The sequence below is a fragment of the Homo sapiens genome, chromosome 5, assembly GCF_000001405.40.
Source record: "Homo sapiens chromosome 5, GRCh38.p14 Primary Assembly".
Taxonomy (NCBI): Eukaryota; Metazoa; Chordata; class Mammalia; order Primates; family Hominidae; genus Homo; species Homo sapiens.
Window position 1 is genome coordinate 32496248 of NC_000005.10, and position 23181 is coordinate 32519428.

Consider the following 23181-nt stretch of genomic DNA (forward strand, 5'->3'; position numbering starts at 1 on the left):
CAAGATTAGAGCTCTCTCAAAAGTGCCTCAGAGCCCGTCTTCCTGTTTTTGACATGAAACAGCCACTTTCCTGGATTAACTTCATGCTAGATGAAGTCATGCAATATGGTTAGTGTGGAAGACAGGGTTTTGTTGTTGTTGTTTTAAATTTGTTAGCTGTAATGAACTCATATGCTGCTCCATAGGTCCCCGGCTGTCCTTTTTTTGTCTTCTGAGTTTTGTTCCGCCTTAGTCTAGGGGTTGAGGAAGCTGTTTAGGTCAGGCCCACAGAAATTCTGGCCATGGGCTACTGCATGGTCCAAGTGAGAAATAATGGCAACTGGGATGGGGAAGAAGCCTTGGAGATAGAAAAGGGCTGATTCAAGAGAGAGGGAAAATGTACAATCAATAGGAGTAGGTTGAATTGAATAAGAGAAACAAGGGTATCAAGGATTTCCAGCTTGAATAGAACATTGTTCCTCTTGTTCATGTGCTGGATCAATGTTTAATGAATTTCCCCCATGTACCAGGCACTGTTAGACTGTTTCAGATATTTAACCCCTTCCCCCTTCATCACTATTGTTATTATTTTTGAGACAACGTCTCACTCTGTCACCCATTCTGGAGTGCAGTGGCGCGATCTCAGCTCACTGCAACCTCTGCTTCTCGGGTTCAAGTGATTCTCCTGCCTCAGTCTCCCAAGTAGCTGGGATTACAGGCATGCACCACCATGCCCAGGCTAATTTTTTTACTTTTAGTAGAGACGGGGGTTTCACCACGTTGGCCACACTGGTCTCGAACTCCTGACCTCAAGTGACCTGCCCACCTCTGCCTCACAAAGTGCTGGGATTACAGGCATGAGCCACTGCACCCGGCCTGATCAGGTGATGGATCTTAAGACTCTCCCATGAGAGGGCTCCCACCCTATACCATGGGGGAAAGAATGTTGATGTCATGAAGCTTCTGTAAAAACCCAAGAGGACATGGATCAGTGAACTTCCGGGTAGCTGAGCTCCTGGAGGTTCCTGGAGGGTGGCGCTTAGGGAGGACATGGAAACTCTGCGCCGCTTCCCTAATATCTCACCCTGTGCATCTCTTCTCGTGTATCCTTTACTATATCCTTAATAATAAACCAGTAAATGTGTTTCCCTGAGTTCTATAAGCCGCTCCAGCAAATTTATTGAACCCATATAGGGGGGTCATGGGAACCCCAACTTGAAGCTGGTCAGTAAGAGGTTCTGGAGGGCCGACCTTGCAACTGGTGTGTGTTAGTGGGGGTTCAGGAGGCAGTCTTAGGGACTGAGTCCTCAGCTTGTGGGATCTGACACCATCTCTGGGCAGACACGGTTGGAACTGAATGAGAAGACCCTCCCTGGTGTCCGTTGCTTGGTGTGTGGGGAAAAAGCCCCATATATTTGGTCACAGAAATCTTCTGTGTTGATGATTGTTGTGGTGTGAGAGTAGAGGAAAAACATGGTTTCAGGAGAGTTTTTCCCTACACAGTTTGATACACTGAACGTCCCTAATTTTGGTGAACACCCTTAAAATTAGTGCTTTTGGGGGAAGAAGGGACTAGATTGATGAGTTTTTCAAGGAATAAAGAGAAGAAAAGAAGCTTAAGAAGCTTTTTCTTGGCCGAGCATGGTGGTCCCATGCCTGTAATCCCATCATTCTGGGAGGCAGAAGGATTCCTTGAGGCTAGGAGTTTGAGACCAGCCTAGCCAACAAAGCGAGACTGCCGCCTGCCTCCAATCTCTACAGCAAAAAAAAAAATTAGTGGGGTATGGTGGCGTGTGCCTGTAGTCCTAGCTAATTGGGAGGTTGCGGTGGGAAGAGTGCTTGAGCCCAGGAGTTTGAGGCTGCAGTGAGCTGTGATTGCATCACTGTATTCCCACCTGGGTGACATGATGAGACCCCCGTCTCAAAAACAAACAGGCTGGGCGTGGCGGCTCACACCTGTAATCTCAGCACTTTGGGAAGCCAAAGCAGGTGGATCACTTGAGGTCAGGGGTTCAAACCAGCCTGGCCAACATGGTAAAACCCCATCCCTACTAAAAATACAAAAATTAGCTGGGTGTGGTGGCACGCACCTGTATTCCTAGCTACTGGGGAGGCTGAGGCATGAGAATGTCTTGAACCTGGGAGACAGAGGTTGCAGTGAGCCGAGATTGCACCATGCACTCCAGCCAGGGCAACAGAGTGATACTCCATCTCAAACAAACAAACAACAACAACAACAAGAATCTTTTATTCATGGAACCCAATAGAAAAGGTGGAGAGACATAAAAAAAAAAATTAAATTCTACAGAGGTATCCACCTATGCCTGTGCCCAGTCTGTCATCCAGCAGTTTGGTTTCAGTGTTTAGTGATTACCTCTGTGTGTCTAAATACTATGTTTACACTGCTTGCTATTTCCTGGTTTATCATCTTTAGACATTATCTCTTGACTTCCTCTTGTGAAAGATAAGGATTTAACTTGCTCACAAAGATAAGGATTTAACTTGCTCACACTCCTGTCCCAGTAAAGCTATATCATTATTTTTAGTTCCTCTACTGGTTTCTAACATTAAGTAATGGACTGGAATCTCTCTTGTTCTAGTGATTTCAAGGAGTATCTTCTTCTCCCTTTATTGAAAGCAAAAAAAAAGCTTGCCTTTCCCTTCAACACAACTGTCCATCTTTTACTTCCCAATTTCCGACATCTGTCATTTCACTTTCACCTCGTCAGGCTGATAAACTTTACATTCTGTTCTGTATCCACAGTTGACTCCACCATGCTTTGCCTGTAGAGCTGGATTCTAAAAGGCGAACATCTCCAGGGGAGGATGGGAGTGGGGATCGAGGTTTGGGGGTTTCTCTGAGAGAGGGCCTGACCTGAAGAGGCCACCTGGACAGGAATAAGGGGCTTTTCCTTAAAGGGTTTTGTTCAAGAACCCAGGAACTGGGTGGGAGCTGAGTCATTATCTGCAGATCAGTGGTCTTCACTGGTCCTTATCTGCCCCCAGGGGCTCAGCTGGCTCTGCTTCCCACTGACATCCCTTGAGAATGATCTCTTTAATAGTAGCCAGCATCTCCTTCAATGTCAGTGCAATCTGGTGACTCCCGTCCATCTCCAAACCTTTGCTCAACCCCTATATTACTTTTCCTATAAGGTTAACCCACACTTCATAACACCCTGTGACTTCAATAAACCCCAGAAAAGGAAGCTGTAACCTGGAACTCATGGGGTGGAATCCCCCTACATTGGTCTTGGAGCTTGAGAGGGTGGAAAGGTACCAGCTTATGACTCCCCATCCACCCACGCAGGATTGGAGCAGTGGCTCTCTAGACATTTGTCCCTCTGACACAGACCTTTCTTTCTTTTTCTTTCTTTCTTTCTTTTTTTTTTTTTTGAGACAGAGTCTTGCTCTGTCACTCAGCTGGAGGGTAGTGGCACCATCTCGGCTCATTGCAACATTCTAGGTTCAAGCAATTCTTCTGCCTCAGCCTCCTGAGAAGCTGGGATTACAGGCACCTGCCACAATGCCCAGCTAATTTTTGTATTTTCTTAGCAGAGATGAGGTTTCACCTTGTTGGTCAGGCTGGTTTCCAACTCCTGAAACCTCAAGTGATCTACCTGCCTCAGCCTCCTTAAGTGTTGGGATTACAGGCGTGAGCCACTGTGCCCGGCCCACAGATCTTTCACTGAACTCTTTTTTTCCACCTCACTTCACCAACTGCCTCTCATACCTACAGAATTTTGGGAGGCCTTTCTCCTGGTATTGGACATGTTTTATGGCAGCTTTTGGCCAGATAATCTTTTAAAGATTGTTTGCTTAGCAGACCTCTTTGGAAGCTAGAGATATGTCTCCCTTCGGGTCAGAGTTCAGTTTTGTTTCCTGACTACTGTTGTTGTAGGAAAAGGGGTCCTTGGGAAGTTTTCATTTTTTAAAGCATCTCTGGAAAAGTTTCTAGTAAAGCCCTGGCTGTTAGAGCCAGGCCAGCAACCTTTGATATGCAAATGCAAGCCATTAGAAACTGGGTCCACCCAAGCATGGAGATTCCCTTGGCCTTCTTACCCTTTTTCGACATGTTTCTGGCAACACGGCCTCCCCAACATATCCCCACGTGTATAGAACACCTTGGTGCCCTATATTTGCATATTAAAAGGCTAGGGTGGGAGGGCCAGCTTTTTCTCGGGCTAGGTGAATGACATGCCTAGTCAAACCAATCCCCTGAGCCCTATGCAAATCAAACACCGCCTCCTCCAGCCACTGCACATATACCTGGCTGGTATCCGTGGCAGGTAGAGACCTCCTCTTTTGGCTTTGGAGCCCCCCTCCCCCTGTCTCTGTATGCGGGAGCTTCTTTCCTTCTGTCGTCTCCCTTCCTTCTTGCCTATTAAACTCTCCACTCCTTAAAACCACTCCACGTGTGTCCATGTAGTTTCATCTAAACCGACATGAGGACCAAGAACTCTGGTGTTCCTCCACTCTTTAGAGCCCTATCACTGTGATAAAGATAGTGTCCCCTGGGCACGGTGGCTCACGCCTGTAATCCCAACACTTTGGGAGGCAGAGGCAGGTGGATCACCTGAGTTCAGCAGCTTGAGACCAACCTGGCCAACATGGTGAAACCCCATCTGTACTAAAAATACAAAAATTAGCCAGGCGGTGGTGAGAGCCTGTAGTCCCAGCTACTGGGGAGGTTAAGGCAGGAGAATGGCGTGAACCCGGGAGGCGGAGCTTGCAGTGAGCCGAGATCTTCCTACTGCACTCCAGCCTGGGCGACAGAGCAAGACTCTGGCTCAAAAAAAAAAAAAAAAAAAAAAAAAAGATAGTGCCTTCCGCTGGGGCAAAGTTGGGGCAGGTGTGCTAGCGGTTCCCTTGGAAAACTGGGGGTTTCATGAACTCAGTGTTCCTCAGGGGCAGTATTCACCTGGCCAGCACTGGTATTGCCCCATGAGGCTTGGGGGCCAGCAGAACTGATGCGAACATTGGGGTCATGCTGCCTGCTGTGCTCTGAGTAGTAAATGACATCTATCTGGGAAAGTGGGGCAAATCAGCGGACCCAGCAGCTGCTATTTGGGGACGGCTTGGCCGCTTGACGTAGACTCTCTGAGGGGCTGCCCACTTTCTTCCCTGGGTCGGGCACATCCTGTATTTTAAAGGTGGGGACACCCTCCACTCTCAGGCCTCTGAAACCCTTAGCTGTTGACACCTCCTTTGCGTTCTCCTCCTTTACGGTCATTTTAATGAGGCATCAGGTGGTGGGAGTGGTAATTATTCATGTGTGTGCCCAGATTACCTAGTTGAAACGGAGCTCGTTTGCATTTCAATATACTAAAGAAACATATCCAGAGAGAACTTTTTGAGATTTTCAGCAGCTTTGTAAACAGAATACAACATTCAATAGTAAGTTGCAAAGCATAACGCATTGTAAAAAGGGACATTTTTGCTGATTCCAGAATTTCTCTCTCCTGCATAGCTTCTCAGATTTACGCCACAGGGATCAGCAGGATCTTTTAAAGATCAGAGGCTGAGTGGTGTTTTTCAGAGGCTGCGAAAAGCAGGGAGCAGGGAGACATGATGTGCTTGCTCCACTGCAAATCTGAGATTGTGACTGCAGATTGGTTTGCAGAACGTCATTCCATGAATTCCCATATGCAGGGGCTGGACAGCAGAAACCTATGAGTACTAGACTCCTTTGCAGTTAGGCTTCCTCAGGAGACCGCTACTCCACCAGAACACCCACTGGGTGAGACTTCAAGGTAGAAGTGTGAGACCCTGGCTGAGGGTGTGACCCTGGCTGAGGGCTCGAAGGTTGCATCTTCTGAAAAGCACCCCTAGGGGAGGTTTTTGTTTTTTTCTGAAACAGGTGTGGTGAAGTTTCTATTGTTTCATATCTGATTTCATGGGTATGGTTATGGTTAACCTGTACAGCATCTTTGTATTAATTAGAAAAAGACACCTAATTTTGCCTGAAGCACCTCAATTCCATCTGTAAAATACATGCACTCCTTGTATTTTAAAGGCAGCGACTTCTTCCACTCTCAGGCCTCTGAAGTCCCTTACCTGTTGATACCTCCCTTCCGTTCTAATACATCAATCATTAGTATACCAGTATATTAGAATAAGACTCCATCTGCTGGAAATTGTAAGATGTCTACAATGTGACTACCATGCGCTGGGATTATAAAGAGAATCCTGGTCAGAGATGCTAAGAGGCACGTGGTGGCAATAGTGAGGTTCTTGTTAGAAGAACCTACCAGGGTGGTTCCCTAGTTCAAAGCTGGTCCCCTAGTCCTCTCAGAAATGCATTAGCAGGCTGGGCGTGGTGGCTCACATCTGTAATGCCAGCACTTTGGGAGGCAGAGGCAGGCAGATCACTTGAGGTCAGGAGTTCGAGACCAGCCTGGCCAACATGGTGAAACCCGTTTCTACTAAAAATACAAAAATTAGCCGGGTGTGGTGGCACACACCTGTAATCCCAGCTATTGAGGAGGCGGATGCAGATGAATTGCTTGAACCCAGGAGGCAGAGGTTGCAGTGAGTCAAGATTATGCCACTGTACTCCAGCCTGTGCAGTGAGTCAAGATTATGCCACTGTACTCCAGCCTGGGCAACAGAGCGATACTCCGTCTCAAAAAAAAAAAAAAAAAAAAAAGCATTAGGTCACCTAATCCCCTTTAATTAATCTCTTTGTGTTTAAATTAGTTAGAGAGGGTTCTTCTCTGCCACTAATAATCCTGATCAATACAGACACAAAAGACAGAGAAAGTAGAAGCAGTGACAGGGGCCAAGGGAGAAGAAAACCAAATGAGTCTTGGGGTCTGTAGGAAGAAAAGAAGGGTTCCATTGGAAGAAACCAAGAAATAGAGAAGTCAGCTTCCACTTAACTGATGAGAAGACAGAGTGAGTTCCTTGAAAAGGACTCGTAGTATTCACAGGTAGGGGAGTTTTACAGGTTCAATAGAGGAGAAGAAGTACATTCACTTGAGAAATACATTTAATAGAGAATTTAGAAATCAGCAAAATATCCTTTTTATGGTACATTGTGCTTTGCAATTTACTAGTCAAATGCTTTTAAAATAACTAAATATATAATCCCATAGGTTTCCCCCTGTGATGGGAGAGAAGTAGTTGTCTGATCCATGGCACACATGGATTTGCTGATGGAGTACAGACACTGAGTCTGAAAGGATGTCCGTGAGAGAGTCCACAAAGCAGCTGGAGATTTGTGGGTGGTCCTGAGACAGGAATAATACAGGATAGTCACAGGAGGATAAAAATTCCAGACAGCAGTTTCACAGGACTAAAGGCTATGGGCTGAAAAGACTTTGCAAAACCATGGTGTGGGCCGGGCGTGCTGGCTCACGCCTGTAATCCCAGCGCTTTGGGAGGCCGAGGTGGATGGATCACGAGGTTAGGAGTTCAAGACCAGCCTGGCCAACATAGTGAAACCCCGTCTCTACTAAAATACAAAAATTAGCTGGGCATGGTGGTGCATGCCTGTATTCCCAGCTACTCCGGAGGCTGAGGCAGGAGAATTGCTTGAACCCGGGAGGTGGAGGTTGCAGTGAGCCAAGATCGCGCCACTGCACTCCAGCTTGGACAATAGAGTGAGACTTTGTCTCAAAAAAAAAAAAAAGAAAGAAAAAGAAAAACCACGTTGTGGGCCATGCTGGCTAAGATAGGCTGGATCTGGCCGGGCACGGTGGCTCACGCCTGTGGTCCCAGCGCTTTGAGAGGCTGAGGCCGGTGGATCACGAGGTCAAGAGCTCAAGACCAGCCTGGCCAACATGGTGAAAGCCCGTCTCTACTAAAAATACAAAAACTGGCAGGGCATGGTGGTGCATGCTTGTAGTTTCAGCTACTCGGGAGGCTGAGGCAGGAGAATCGCTTGAACCCGGCAGGCAGAGGTTGCAGTGAGCCGAGATCATGCCACTGCAATCCAGCCTGGGTGACAGAGTGAGACTCTGTCTCAAAAAAAAAAAAAAAAATAGACTGGATCCAACATGGTGCTGGATCTGACCTAGGTGCCTCCTAGGACCTCATTATGCACTCATTAGCATACTCAACACACTCCCACCAGTGCCATGACAGTTCCGGGAACACCTGTATTTGGTGTAAAAATGGGTAGCATGACAATTCTGAGAAATGATCACCTTTTTCCAGGAATCTTCATGAATATTCCACTCTTTGGTTAAGAAATCCATAAAGACAGAAATGCTAAATCCCATCACAGCACTCTCTTGAGTATGCATGCACTCTTTTTTTCTGGTGTGTGTACTTTCCCTTTGCAATAAATCTCTGTACTTTCACAATTTTCTGACTTGTCGTTGAATTCATTCTCACGATGGCATCAGGAGCCTGGACACCGGCTGGGGTTAAGGTCCCACTGACATTTAGAGACCTTCCCTAGCCCACCAGTATCAATCTCTGCCCCATTTTACCAGCTTCCCTCTTGGTTTTCCTCTCTGGTGTGGAAAACCTCAGTTTAGAACTGTTTGAGCCAGATTGCTTCTTCTTCCTTTGCTATCCACCTTTTAGCTATTTTATTATTTTGCAAACTGCTGGTAAAAGCTACGGGGAGGAAGGGACTACATCCTTGATTTGGTCATTGATTTAAAGACTGTATCTCCTTATACAGCTGGCATCATCTTCTACTTGCAGATGGAAAATACGCAGGCCCCGTGAAAGACAGCAAAGAAACATCTTGCCTTCCCCGTCTCTCCCCCTTGGATTCCTGATCTCTACCTCTTACGGGGCTCTGCCTTCTCTTAACCCCTTGCCCTTTTCCTCAATTTAAATTGTCTGTCCCTCAGCTTCATCCCATTCTCTCCTGGATAGATCCAGGGCTTTGAGCCAGGAGAGTGCTGGAAAAAGAGGGCCTGCTCTCAGGGAGCCGCGGAGGGAGGGATCCAAACATTGGACACTTCCCAGCTTCACACATTTTTAGGTTATTATGTTAAGAAGCCTGTCTGCCTCATTTTGTTATTCTAGTCTATTTCGCATTCAACCCCAGGAGGAGGAAGGGTAAAGGAGAAAAAAAAATCCTTCCTGCCACAAATAAAATGTAGCAGATGTTAGCTGATGATTACAAAAAGACAGTAAAGCAGGCCAAGAAACCATGGGAGGGAGGGGGTGGACCACAGCAGAGGGCGGGGGAGTGGGTGTTCGTGGAGCTGAATGTTCAGGGCAGATGCTCTGGAGGATTAAATTACACCGAGAGTGAGGCTGCTGGTGCCGTCCCTCAGCCCTGCTCTGTAGCGCTGGGAGCTATTTCAAGCCAGTGAGAAAGAGAGTCTGCACTATTTGTCTTTAGGAGGTGCTTTATTTCCTTCCCTGTTTTGGAAAATGATACCTAGCTCTGCATGCATGTGGGTGCCTTTTTTAATGAAGTGCTACTCAAGGACTCAAAAGAAGGAACAGTGGCAGATGGGGCATCTGTGGGTTTTGCCTCTTCTGCAGCCATTCCCCCCTCCTCTGGTAACAGCACTATGATTTGGTGGCGGGGAAGGGCTGGGGGTGCATCTTTTTCACTGTAAGTCCCTGTGGTTCAGGTGAGACTGATTCCATCCTGCCCAATGCCCCTGCTCCAAGCTGGGCACTTACGCCAGCCTAAGCCATTGATTGCCCTGGAATGTTCATGTGACTTAAGTTAGGATGAGGAGAGTCAGCTCCAGGACTTTTGCTGACACTGTTGTGAAAGAGGGGCTTTCTGCTGCGAATGCCAAGTGGATGGTATGCAAGTCTGGAGCTGTTCCTGGCTTGTTCTGTGAAAACTTACTGGAGAATGAAGCCAATTAGAAGAGATGCATTTGAGCAATGAAGAAAGAAGTTTCCTGAGGACATTGAGCATCTGGATCCAGCTGCAGCTGAAACTGATCCTACCCTAGGACTTTGCAGGTATATGTGGCTGTAAGTCTTCCCCCACCTCTTTATTCTCACCACTTTGCATTTGGGTTTCTGTCCCTCACACCTAATACAAGTGCCTTCAGAAAGCCCGGGAGGCTTGTCCAGGTCACTGTGCTGGGCAGAACAAAATGAGGGCAGCTATCTATCATTGCCTCGATGCTGCTCTTGCTGTGGATGAAGCCTGGAGGCTTATTTCCAGGTCATGTTTGACTCTGAGTACACAGCTGCCTCTGAGAAAGATTGCCAGGCAGGAGTCAGCAGCCAGAACTCAGCTCAACAATCGTGTTCAGTTCTGTGTTATTGTACAGCAGTGCTCTCCAAGGACACCCTTGAATAGAAATGAATGCACATAAAGGTCCAACATGCATTCAGGAAGCCAGAGTCTCCACTTGTGCCCATATGCAAAGGAATCATTGTTCTCAGACCCCCTGGTAGAGACAGCTCTCAGCTCACTGACATGAACTGATGTGAAAATGTTCTTTAAGTGGAAAGCAGCAGGAAGCAGCTGTTAAGGAGGTGGGCACTTAGAAAGGAGAGACCACTTTACCATTTATCCATTTGTCCAGCATACATTGATTGACCGCCTTCTATTGTGTTAGGGACAGAAATGCTAATAAAAGACAAAGTTCGTGCCCTCAGGAAGCATGCAGTTGAGTCAGGGAGTCAGCAAGAAAATCAACTGGTAAATAAATGTAATCATGATAATTTAAACGGAAATAATAGGAGAGTGCCATCTACCCAACAGCATAACTCTCTTCTTAGTTTGTAGAATCTGGATTTTATTCTAAAAGGCAGGATGCTCAGGTCCCTCCCCCAGGCTCAGGATTAACTATGATACATCTAAGCCAGTGATTCCAAATTTTGGCTTGCATGAGTCACATGGAGGGCTTGTTAAAACCAGGAATCCTGGGCCCCACTCCCAGAGTTTCTGATTCAGTAGGTCTAAGTGAAGCCTAAGAATTTGCATTTTTTTTTGTTGAGACAGAATCTCACTCTGTGATCTTGGCTCACTGCAACCTCTGCCTCCTGGGTTCAAGCAGTTCTCTTGCCTCAGCCTCTCAAGTAGCTGGGACTACAGGCATGCATCACCATGCCCAGCTAATTTTTGCATTTTTAGTAGAGATGGGGTTTCACCATGTTGGCCAGGGCTGGTCTTGAACTCCTGGACTCAAATGATCCACCTGCCTCGGCCTCCCACCCTGCTGGGATTACATGTGTAAGCCACCCTGCGTGCCCAAGAATTTGCATTTCTAACAAGTTCCCAAGTGACGCTGTTGCTGCTGGCCTGAAGATCACTAATCACAATCAAGCACAATCATCTGGTTTACCCCTTCTAGTATTTGGTTTAGGGTTAGGCACATGACCAAATTCTGGCTGATTAAATGAAAGGAAAAGTCAATGAAGTTTTAGGACAACTGTTTGCTTCTTGGTAAAATGTAAGATGGAAAGGAGGCCTATCTTTTCATCCCATCCTGGGTTCCAGAACTTTATCCTTAGTTCAGCTAAAACTGGGTTCTTGTCACACAACTAAGAAAGATTAGGCTTGTGGACACATAGAAGGGTGAGGAAAATGGAATTTATTGGGCAAAAAGGAAAAAGAAAGAAAAACTCTCAGCAAAGTGAGAGGGGGTCTTGCCAACAACCTCCCCCCTCACAGACTGAATCCCGGGTTACCACACAGGCACTGAAGAGGCCAGACTCTTCCCCCCTGCAAATGGTGTGAACTTCCCAAGGCTCCACCCGATCCTCCCAGTGCACAAGCAGGCATTATTCAGAATCAGCTGGGAAAGAGCAGGCTTCATTTGCGACCAGCAGACCGGTTTTTCAGCCTTCAGGCTGTTTTAGGCTTGAAGGCAGGGTTTCACTTGGGACTCTTGGCTGTCTTCTGTCTCTATCACCTGAAATGAGGTTATGTGGGGAGCTGCTGTTTAGAGCTACTGATATCATGTGATGATGTGCACTTGGCCAAGAGGCTTGCAAAAATCCTGATCCAGACCCCTGACATTGTTGAGGAGCTGAGCAAACCCTGGAACCACCCACCTCCGACTCTTTGTTGTGGAGAAATTAAATGTTGTTATTCCCGTTTTCCATCAGAGCTGGAAGTATCCCAACTGATTCAGAGGGCTATCAGTCTGAGGCTGAGTAGGATGGAGTATCAGGAAAGGCTTCCAAGAGGAAGTAGACTCACTCTTCTCCAGCTCTTCAGTGAGAACTATTCCCGTTTGTGCTTTGGCAAAATGACAAATGATGACACCCCATAGACTCACTTTGTAGACTAACTTTTGAATTGCCTGAATGAGGAATTTTAAATTTATGAATGTCAAGGGTTTATTTCATGTGTAAATAACTGTGTTGGAATGGAGATTGAGAAAACCATTAATTTTTTCTGTGGCGAAGTCCAGGAAAAATTTGTGAAGGAGGGCTGGGAGGGCCTGGCATGGTGGCTCATGCCTGTAATCCCAGCACTTTGGGAGGCCGAGACGGGCAGACCATTTGAGGTCAGAAACTTGAGACCAGCCTGGCCGACATGGTGAAACCCCATCTCTACTAAAATACAAAAATTAGCTGTGCGTGGTGATGCACGCTTGTAATCCCAGCTACTTGGGAGGCTGAGGCAGGAGAATCGCTTGAACCGGGGAGGAGGAGGTTGCAGTGAGCCGAGATCACACCACTGCGCTCCAGCCTAAGCGACAGAGCAAGACTTTGTCTCAAAAAAAAAAAAAAAACAACTTTGTGAGGGAGATGACATTGGGCCAGGCTACTGAGAGCTGATGGCACGGGTTGGGGAGTAATGTAGTGCTGGAATCTAGCAAAGTGTGTGGTGTATAATAAATACCCGTATGTTTCCAGGGCTTACCTAACCTTAAGAATATATCATCCAGAGGAAATGGCATGAACAGCAGCCCGAAGGCATGACAGTTTGGTGTCTCTGGCTATGAGTACACAGCTTGGTATGGTGATCTAGAGGTAGTATGGGTTAGACTGAGCCATGATATGAAAAAAGCAGGGAAGCATTGGAGTAGATTAAATTGGAAACCAAAATCACGGTTCTCAGTTGGGTTAACAACAACAGCAAATCCCAATCCTCAAAGACTTCTGAAACTCGGAAGGTGGTTGAGTTTCAAGAGGGTTGCCCAAGAAGAACTCTTGCCCAACAAGGGTTGGGTTGCCTCTCCTCTGCCTAAGGAGGCAGTCCTTCCCTTGGAGTAGGAATTGCTTCATGACCTGCTTCTCATTTTGCTATGCCACTAACCTAAATCCAAATACAACATGGCCTGGGGTGGAGCAGGGTGGGATTGAGCAGGATGTGAAATGACCAAGGATATGATAATAGAAAATGATCATTTGTGCAGCATGCTGGGTTAAATATGAGATTGCTTAGAGCTGGGAGTGGGCAGCCCAGGGGTTCCATTCACCCAGAACACAACCACAACAATGAGAACACTATTGCTACATATCTGTAACCTGTTGCTTATTTACATTTTCAAAAGCCCTGATGATGTTTCTAAGAATGAATTTCGAGGATGTATAAACAAGGCTCGTGGAATATAATTTTAGCTTGTGCTAGATTTAGTGATGTGGGTATAGTTATGCATTAGAGAAGACAGGAAGATCATTTCTGTTTGTGAAAATTGCCTTCAAAATAATTTAAAACAATGTTCATTAAAACAAGTTAGAAAGGTATAAGAAAGAAAATTAAATCACCTGAAATCTCATTACGTTGATAATACCTTAATAATTGTTCTAAGTTTGCTGCAGTTGGCTGATGTAGCCATGGATCCACTGCTGGTCCACTCGCGATAATAGGGAAAGGCCAGAAATAGCTTGGCATGACAGAGAGCAGTGGATCTCAGGCTGTGCGTAGTGGCTCATGCCTGTAATCCCAGCACTTTGGGAGGCCAGGGCAGGCAGATCACTTGAGGCCAGGAATTTGAGACCAGCCTGGGCAATATGGTGGAACCCCGTCTCTACAAAAATTAGCTGGTCATGGTGGCACGTGCTTGTAATCCCAGCTACTCGGGAGGCTGAGGCAGGAGAATTGCTTGAGCCCAGGAAGGGGAGATTGCAGTGAGCTGTGATTGCACCACTGCACTCCAGCCTGGTGACAGAGCAAGACCCTGTCTCAGAGAAAATGTTTAAAAAGGGAGCAGTGGATCTCAAACTGGCTGCACATCAAAATCTCCCGGGTGAGTTTAAAAAACACTGGTGTCTGAGCAATTTAGTCAGAATCTCTGAAAGTATAGGGCATATAGGCATCAGTGTGGTGTTTTTTGGGTTTGTTTTGTTTTTGTAGTTTGGGGGTGTGTGTGTGTGTGTGTGTGTGTGTGTGTGTGTGAGTGAGACAGGGTCTCACTCTGTTGCCCAGACTGGAGTGCAGTGGTGTGATCCTGGCTCACTGCATCCTCTGGCCCCCTGTGCTCAAGTGATCCTCACACCCTAGCCTCCTGAGTGGCTGGGACCACAGGTGCACACCACAATGCCAGCTATTTTTTTTTGTCTTTTTAGTAGAGACAGGGTCTTGCCATGTTGCCATGTTGCCCAGGCTGGTCTCCAACTCCTGAACTCAAGCAATCCTCCAACTTTGGCCTCCCAAAGTATTGGGATTATAGGTGTGAGCCACTGTGCCAGGCTGGCATCAGTGTTTTTTAAGCTTCTAGGTGATTCTAATAGGCAGACTGAGTTGGGAACAACTGATGTAAACAGAAGAATTCTAAAACGTTAGGAGACAGTTCTGGATTGGCTTTTTCAAGCCTGCTGTGTCAATCAGGAGTCCAGTCCAAAAAACATAAACCATTCTAGATATTTCAAGCAGAAAGGGATTGAATGCAGGGGACTGGTTACAAAGGTTTTGTAAGGGCTGGAGTTGCAAAATGGAGACATGGGTTTATCTAGAGATAAGGGACCTGCCACCACTTGGGGCTGACACCTGTGGGTTCACACTCACTGCTAAGCTGCTCCAGATGACAAGTGGCCTGAGTAGGAGCTGTCACTGCTGCCACGATTGGAACTGGCATTCTGCTACAGCAATTGGCATTTTTTGTCTGCAATTGGCTGCTTCTGTCAGAGCCAGAGAAGGCTAGGGGTCATCTTCTTCCTACCTTCTATCTCCCTTCAATGGCAGAACCTATCTATCCAGTACCCAGCTGGTGAAGGAGTTTGGGAAATATAATATTCTAATGGCTCCAAAAAATACACAGAAGGATATGGGAAGGGGGATATGAGGGCCGAATATCAATCAATCAATATCTTAATGTCCATCAATATCTGACATGCATTTCTTGCCCACTTACCCGCTGACTGCATCTCCTTCACAGAGCTTGGAAGACTCTTCCCTCACTGGGCTTTGAAATTGAAGAGCCCATCTTTACCAAATACCGACATATGTGGGTGCCATGGCAGGAGATAAAGATGGGGCATTTGGGCCAGAGGTGGTTTGTTGAGGGCTGGCGTGTCTTAGGTGTTCTGTTTCATTACTCTTATGTCACTATATAAAATTATCTTCATTTTGCAGATGAGGAAACTGGGGCTCAGAGGGACAAAGGACAAGATCCCATAGTTCAGAAGGGGCAGGGTGTAATTGACACTGTTCGCCTGACTACAAATTCAGTTCTCACACCGTTGCACCACACTGCCTGCCAGGGTCCCAACCCCAGAGGGCGAGGCCACCAGCACCAGGCCTCCTCAGGGAGCAGCTTTATGGAATGGGTGTGGGAAAGGAAGCCTGGGGGCAGGGGATCCTGCCTGTCACAGCTCTCACAATCTCCTAAGCTCTTCTTGCCTGTGGGTGCCAGGACTGACACCAGAAATCCCCTGTGGCCTTCCTGTCTCCCCTGCAGAGGATCATAGGCATACGTCCTGTCTCATCACCCCCACTCTTTCTGGCCTGGCCCACATGCCCCTGCTTCTTAGAGAGTCATGGCAGTCTGGACGTCAATGTGGGCAGAGCTTGAGGACACTCTAGGTGCAGCTGGTTTGGGCCGGCAGGTGAGATGAGGGGCCTGGGAGGATGTCCCTGCTTCTCACAATTCCTGGGGAGAGAACAGAGCAGGAGGGCAGACTTTGGGCGAGCTCTCACCATCGTGGACTTGGCTGAGCCAGCAGCCTGCTGCACTCTTCTCCGCCCACAGTGGCCTCATTGTTTCCAGCGGCCAGGCAGTTTGGAGGAGGTCCCTCGGCCACTCCTAGCCCCCTAAATAGGGGCCAGCTTATCAGAAACATATCAGAAGTCTGCAGGCTAGAATTGTTGGTAGAAAAATGCCAAAGTTGAAACTTGTTTTCTATTATCAGCAGGTATCTGGGAGTGAACTGTGGCAGAGTACAAGTGATGCCAATTATTTAACGACTGGAGGCAACATGGGCACGGTTACATTAGGCTCTAGGGCAGGCTTGGGAAAAATATTTGACAAGGGTCTGATCCTCCAAGATCTCTGCTATGGCATCCGTGGTAATGAGATCATCAGATGACCTGTGCAGGTTTTCTGTGACGTGAATAACTAACCCAAACCAAACAAAGCTTTGGTTTGGTGAATAGAGGCCTGATTTGAACCACCGTAGTAGACATAGCTTATCTTCCAATTCATAGGCCTGAGATTGGTAACAGAACCAGATGCACAGAATGGAAAGGACACCAAATGCCTACAAGGAAGGACCCATGTAACACCTCAGTTACATACTTGAAACTTCCTTCTTGCTCAAAGGAACTATTTACCTGGATAGCTGTGTACGGGGGCAAGAGAGAGACATAAACCTTTCAGGGAGTAGCGAATATTGGCTCTGAACTTACATGAGATACATAAATGTATTGTAGTTCCTGATTGCAGTGGGTCTAATGGTCATCAGGTGGTAAGTAGGATTTTAACCTGGGTCTATTTATAAAAAGCCCCGTAATTATTTCTCCAGATCCTGAATACAGCACAGAGTTGGACTGGTAGGTCCCCATAGTGGCTCTCTGACACACACAGTAAGAATGACTGTGGTTGGAAGAGCCAAGTGGGAACCACTGAAGTTTCTTCTCCCTACCAGAATAATAAATCAAAACCAATACCACACCTCCAGGGGAATCACAAAGATTAGCCCCATAGTTAAAGATTTTGAAACAGCAGCTAAGTTCCTCAGAATGGCCCGTATGAGGATAGATGGATTCTGGAAACCACAGTGGATTAAGGAAGCCTAATTAGTTGATAACTCCTCCCACAGTGACAGGCCAAGACATAGTCTCCCGTTTGGAGCATATTAACACAGGCCCTGGCACCAGCAACTGATCTAGCAAGTGTATTTTCTTACCCATTCTGATAAAGGGTATTCCAGAAATAGTTAGCTTTCACCTAGTAGAAATATATACTTTTACCATGCTGCCTCAGGGATATATTGAGTCCGTCCGGTAGGGATCTTGACCATCTCACCAACCCACAAGACACAAGGCTGGTCTACATTGAATATAGCACACATATAAGGCCTGGGAAATAAGAAGTAACCGGTATCACAGATGTTGATCTAGATATCTTAGACCCATATGTGCTAGCAGGTGAGAAATAAATCCTATGAAAATACAAGGACTTGCTACCTCAGTTAATCTTCTGGGGGAGGGTTGGACGCCATGGCTCATGCCTGTAATCCCAGTGTTTGGGGAGGCCAAGGTGGGAGAGTCACTTGAAACTAGGAATTTGAGACTAGCCTGGGCAACATAATGAGACCCTGTCTCCACAAAAAATTTAAATATTGGCTGGATGTGGTGGTGCACACCTGTACTTCTAGCTACTTAGGAGGCTGAGGTGGGAGAGTCACTAGATCTGGAGAATTCAAGGTTACAGTGAGCAGTGATTGCACCATTGCACTCCAGGCTGGGTGACAGAACAAGACCCTGTCTCTAAAAACAGGAAGAAAAATAAACTTTAGGAGAGGACCTAGTGGAGTGGACTGAAATATCGATAGATAATCCTCTCCAATTGATAGGGCTCCTTGCATATTAGAGGTAACAGAGAACACATTTGGTTGCCTTGCTTCAACCCATTGACCTGGTGAACTCAGATATGCCAGCCTTATTTGGGTACAGAACAAGAGAAGCCTCTCTAGCTCATCCAGACTGCAGAAGAAGAGGAGGTACCAATTGGTACCTGCTGTATGACCCAGGAGATACAACGATGGTCCAAATGTTTGAGGGAGATAAGTCCTCAGTTAAGGAACTCACTTCACAAGGAAAGTAAAAGACAATGAGATATCATGCTAACAGTTAACTAGTTTTATCATGTACTTAGGAACTTGAAGCATCTGATACCTAGAAGGAAATACAGGTACAGGATTTGGCGGTGGTGCCTTTCAAAGTTTTACCTAATTACTAAATTATAAAATGTTTGCTTCCCATGTATGCAACTCTGGGCTTTGCTGTCTTGTTTATTTTGCTCTCTTATTTATTTATTTATTTACTTTACTTTTATTTTATTTTATTTTTTGAGACGGAGCCTCTTTCTGTCACCCGAGCTGGAGTGCAGTGGTGCAATCTCAGCTCACTGGAATCTCCGCCTCCCAGGTTCAAGTGATTCTCCTGCTTCAGCCTCCTGAGTAGCTGGGATTACAGGCATGCGCCACCACACCTAGCCTATTTATTTATTTTTAATTTTTAAAAACTCTTGTTAAAAAATAGAGATGTGGTCTCACTACATTGCCCAGGCTGCTCTCCAACTCCTAGGCTCAAGCGATCCTTCACCTTGGCCTCTCAAAATGCTGGGATTACAGGGGTGAGCCACCATGCTCAGCTAGTGGTCTTACTCTCTAAGGGAGGAATACTTCCCATAGGGGACACAATAATGGTTTCTATCCTAGCCATAAGCAGGCAAAAAAGGGTAATGGTGTCGGCTGGGGTGAATGACACTGTGAAAAGGGAAATGAGGTTGCTGCCACACGATGGGAGTAGGGGTGTACACAAGAAACCAGCAATTCATCAGGAATTGCTCCTTGTTTTATTATTTATGTCCATGCCCAGCAGTTGTGGTCAGTGGAAGCTTATTTCAACCTTTCATTGGCAGGTGCACCAAAGCTGAGATCATTTAGAAATGCAAAGTTGGGCAGAAAAATTGCCATCTATTTGAGGTGCTGGCCAGCATTCAGGGGGACAGGAAATTGGATAATGGAGGAGAGAACACGTAATTATTAGTGGTGGTCTAGTGACCAGATAGAGTGTTTCCTTCTAAGTGTCTACTTCTTCAATAAGTTGATGTATAAATATAAATATCACACATATACACACACATGTGTGTATGTACATTCTTGAATAATAAAGTGGTGTTTTTTTTTCTCCTTTGACCACCCTGTTCAGACCAGGGAACACGGGTATACCATGGGTCTCAGGAGAAAGCCAGAAATGGACAGAGTAGACTCAGCTTCCAATTGTAGAGCTGAGAGTTTAACCTAAGATGGAAAACTTGAAAGGATTTGCAAATGGCAGGAATCCTTTTTTCCTGAGTCTTTCTCTCCCCAACTAGGAAAAATCCTTCAAGTCAAGAAGAATAAAGCAGTTGAAGAGTTAGGAAGAGTATAAGGGCCATACAGTACGCCCCCAACTCTCATTGTCAATGGGCCTGGGTGATAAGAACCCCTCTTTATGTCCGCAGATCTAAGAGCAACATGAGCTTCTGCTTTGCGTCTCATCTAGAATTTATTTATTTATTTATTTATTATTATTATACTTTAAGTTTTAGGGTACATGTGCACAATGTGCAGGTTAGTTACATATGTATACATGTGCCATGCTGGTGAGCTGCACCCACTAACTCGTCATCTAGCATTAGGTGTATCTCCCAATGCTATCCCTCCCCCCTACCCCCACCCCACAACAGTCCCCAGAGTGTGATGTTCCCCTTCCTGTGTCCATGTGTTCTCATTGTTCAATTCCCACCTATGAGTGAGAATATGCGGTGTTTGGTTCTTTGTTCTTGCGATAGTTTACTGAGAATGATGATTTCCAATTTCATCCATGTCCCTACAAAGGACATGAACTCATCATTTTTTATGGCTGCATAGTATTCCATGGTGTATATGTGCCACATTTTCTTAATCCAGTCTATCATTGCTGGACATTTGGGTTGGTTCCAAGTCTTTGCTATTGTGAATAATGCCACAATAAACATACGTGTGCATGTGTCTTTATAGCAGCATGATTTATAGTCCTTTGGGTATATACTCAGTAATGGGATGGCTGGGTCAAATGGTATTTCTAGTTTTAGATCCCTGAGGAATCGCCACACTGACTTCCACAATGGTTGAACTAGTTTACAGTCCCACCAACAGTGTAAAAGTGTTCCTATTTCTCCACATCCTCTCCAGCACCTGTTGTTTCCTGACTTTTTAATGATCGCCATTCTAACTGGTGTGAGATGGTATCTCATCGTGGTTTTGATTTGCATTTCTCTGATGGCCAGTGATGGTGAGCATTTTTTCATGTGTTTTTTGGCTGCATAAATGTCTTCTTTTGAGAAGTGTCTGTTCATGTCCTTTGCCCACTTTTTGATGGGGTTGTTTGTTTTTTTCTTGTAAATTTGTTGGAGTTCATTGTAGATTCTGGATATTAGCCCTTTGTCAGATGAGTAGGTTGCGAAAATTTTCTCCCATTTTGTAGGTTGCCTGTTCACTCTGATGGTAGTTTCTTTTGCTGTGCAGAAGCTCTTTAGTTTAATGAGATCCCATTTGTCAATTTTGGCTTTTGTTGCCATTGCTTTTGGTGTTTTAGACATGAAGTCCTTGCCCATGCCTATGTCCTGAATGGTAATGCCTAGGTTTTCTTCTAGGGTTTTTATGGTTTTAGGTCCAACGTTTAAGTCTTTAATCCATCTTGAATTGATTTTTGTATAAGGTATAAGGAAGGGATCCAGTTTCAGCTTTCTACATATGGCTAGCCAGTTTTCCCAGCACCATTTATTAAATAGGGAATCCTTTCCCCATTGCTTGTTTTTCTCAGGTTTGTCAAAGATCATCTAGAATTTTAAGAAGGTGGCAGACTGGCAGATGTGACCCACGACCACATGAGGAGAACAGAAGAGATGGTGGCATCATGAGACTAGTTGGAGACAGTCAGGAATTATCCCTTAAGTTTCCTGCGACTCCCAAGTGGTAAAGGAGAGCCGAAGGTTCCCGTGGGCCATGAGAGAGGGAAGGAGTATGGCTGAGAGGAATTGGTTATGGTGCATGAATTTATACTGGGAGAACTGGGCATGCTTAGGTTTTTTTATTATTATTGTTTAGATAATCAATGTGAAAACATTCTTTCTATACAGAGTTTTGATGTTTTTTATTTTTTAGGACACTGTATTTTTGAAAGTAGGGTTTGAAGAGAATTTTATTATAGGTAACCCCACTGATAAAATGAAGTCAATCTATCAGTTAATAAATAAAAATTCCAATAATATGATTTTCATTATTTTAGTAATTCCTTTCTTTTTTCTTTTTCTTTTTTTGAGATGGTGTTTTGCTCTTATTGCCCAGGCTGGTGTGCAGTGGCACGATGTCAGCTTACTGCAACCTCTGCCTCCCGGGTTCGAGTGATTCTCCTGCCTCAGGCTCCTGAGTAGCTGGGATTACAGGTGTCTGCCACCACGCTTGGCTAATTTTTTGCATTTTTAGTAGAGATGGGGTTTCACCAAGTTGGTCAGGATGGTCTTGAATTCCTGACCTCAGGTGATCCACCCACTTCGGCCTCCCAAAATGCTAGGATTACAGGTGTGAGCCACAGTGCCTGGCCCGTACCTCCTTTCATTCAAAAGTTTTCTGGTTTGGATGATAAATTAGTCACCCCAACTATATGGGACCTGGAAAGGGAGCAGATAAAACAATTTTTGTTATTCTTGTCCCTTCATCCACCTCAAAGTCATAAAAGATTGAGTTGAAGATCAAAAAGTCTGGAAACGATGTCTGAGTATGGTGGCTCATGCCTATAATCCCAATACTTTGGGAGGCCAAGGTGGGAGGATTGCCTCAGCCCAGGAGTTCAAGATGAGCCTGGACAGTGAGACCCTGTCTCTACAAAAATTAAAAAATTAGCTGAGCATGGTGGGGCGAGCCTGTGGTCCCAGCTACTCAGGAGGCTGAGGTGGGAAGATTGCTTGAGCCCGGGAGGTTGAGGCTGCTGAGTCAAGATCGTACCACTGCACTCCAGTCCGGGTGACAGGGAGCAAGACCCTGTCTAAAAAAAAAAAAAAAAAAAAAAAAAAAAAAGATTGGAGAGAAAGAATTTCTTTGGAGAGAGTGGTTAATGTGCCATGCTTACAAGAGAACTATCTAAAAAGCTTGACAAAGGTCCCCTGTCCTAGCCTACTACAGTTTGAAAAATCCCAGGGCAAAACCACAGTTGGTGATGCCTTTCAGCTGGCTTTAAAAAGGAGGCTAGGATCCAGAATATATAAATAACTCTAACAATTCAACAACCAAAGCACAAAATACGCAGTTTAAAAATAGGCAAAAGGGGATAACCAAAGCAATCCTAGACAAAAAGAACAAAGCTAGAGGCATCACACTACCCAAATTCAAACTATAAGGCTACAGAAGTTAAAATAGCATGGCACTGGCACAAAAACAGGTGCATAGACCAATGGATAGAGAACCCAGAAATAAAGCCACACATCTACAACCATATGATCTCCGACAAAGTTGACAATAACAAGCAATGTGGAAGGAACTCCCTATTCAATAAATGGTGCTGGGATAACTGACTAGCCATTTGCAGAAGAATCAAACTGGATTCCTGCCTTTCACCATATACAAAAATTAACACACGATGGATTGAAGTCTTAAATGTAAGACCTAAAACTTTACAAATTCTAGAAGAAAACCTAGGAAATACTATTCTGGACATTGGCCTTGGCAAAAAGTTTATAATGAAGTGCCCAAAAGCAATTGCAACAAAAAAATTGACAAGTGGAGCCTAATTAAAATAAAGAATTTCTGCATAGCAAAACAAACAAACAAACAAACAAAAACTATCAACAGACTAAACAGCCAACCTACAGAATGGGAGAAAATATTTGCAAACTATGCATCCAACAAAGGTCTGATATCCAGAATCTATAAGGAACTTAATTCAACAAGCAAAAAACAAGCAACCTCATTAAAAAATGGTCAAAGGACATGAACAGACCCTTCTCAAAATATGATATACATGCAGCCAACAAATATATGAAAAAATGCTCAACATCACTAATCATTAAAGAAATACAAATCAAAACCACAATTAGATACCATCTCACATCACTCAGAATGGCTATTAAAAAGTCAAAAAATGACAGATGTTGCCAAGGTTGTATAGAAAAGGGAATG

General features: G+C 45.3%; 1 long non-coding RNA gene across 3 annotated transcripts in view, besides 2 other annotated features; it reads left to right on the plus strand.

Annotated features, from left to right (window-relative positions):
* Nucleotides 5016–5662: an enhancer, noted in NCBI's record as "NANOG-H3K4me1 hESC enhancer chr5:32501369-32502015 (GRCh37/hg19 assembly coordinates)". NCBI's record gives its function as "activates a minimal SCP1, AML or CMV promoter by ChIP-STARR-seq in naive H9 embryonic stem cells {active_cell/tissue: H9 hESC(naive)}" and the evidence as "EXISTENCE:reporter gene assay evidence [ECO:0000049][PMID:30033119]".
* The window catches only part of LOC124900954 (uncharacterized), a 65808-nt gene continuing 52304 nt past the window's right edge, over nt 9678–23181 (plus strand). For 2 of the 3 annotated variants that reach the window (XR_007058720.1, XR_007058721.1), the window contains exon 1: nt 9678–9870. This is a non-coding gene — a long non-coding RNA (uncharacterized LOC124900954). Of the gene's footprint in view, nt 9871–20830; nt 20983–23181 lie in introns of all 3 variants that reach the window. The other variant, XR_007058719.1, reaches the window with a different exon arrangement.
* Nucleotides 15279–15779: an enhancer, noted in NCBI's record as "H3K4me1 hESC enhancer chr5:32511632-32512132 (GRCh37/hg19 assembly coordinates)". NCBI's record gives its function as "activates a minimal SCP1, AML or CMV promoter by ChIP-STARR-seq in primed H9 embryonic stem cells {active_cell/tissue: H9 hESC(primed)}" and the evidence as "EXISTENCE:reporter gene assay evidence [ECO:0000049][PMID:30033119]".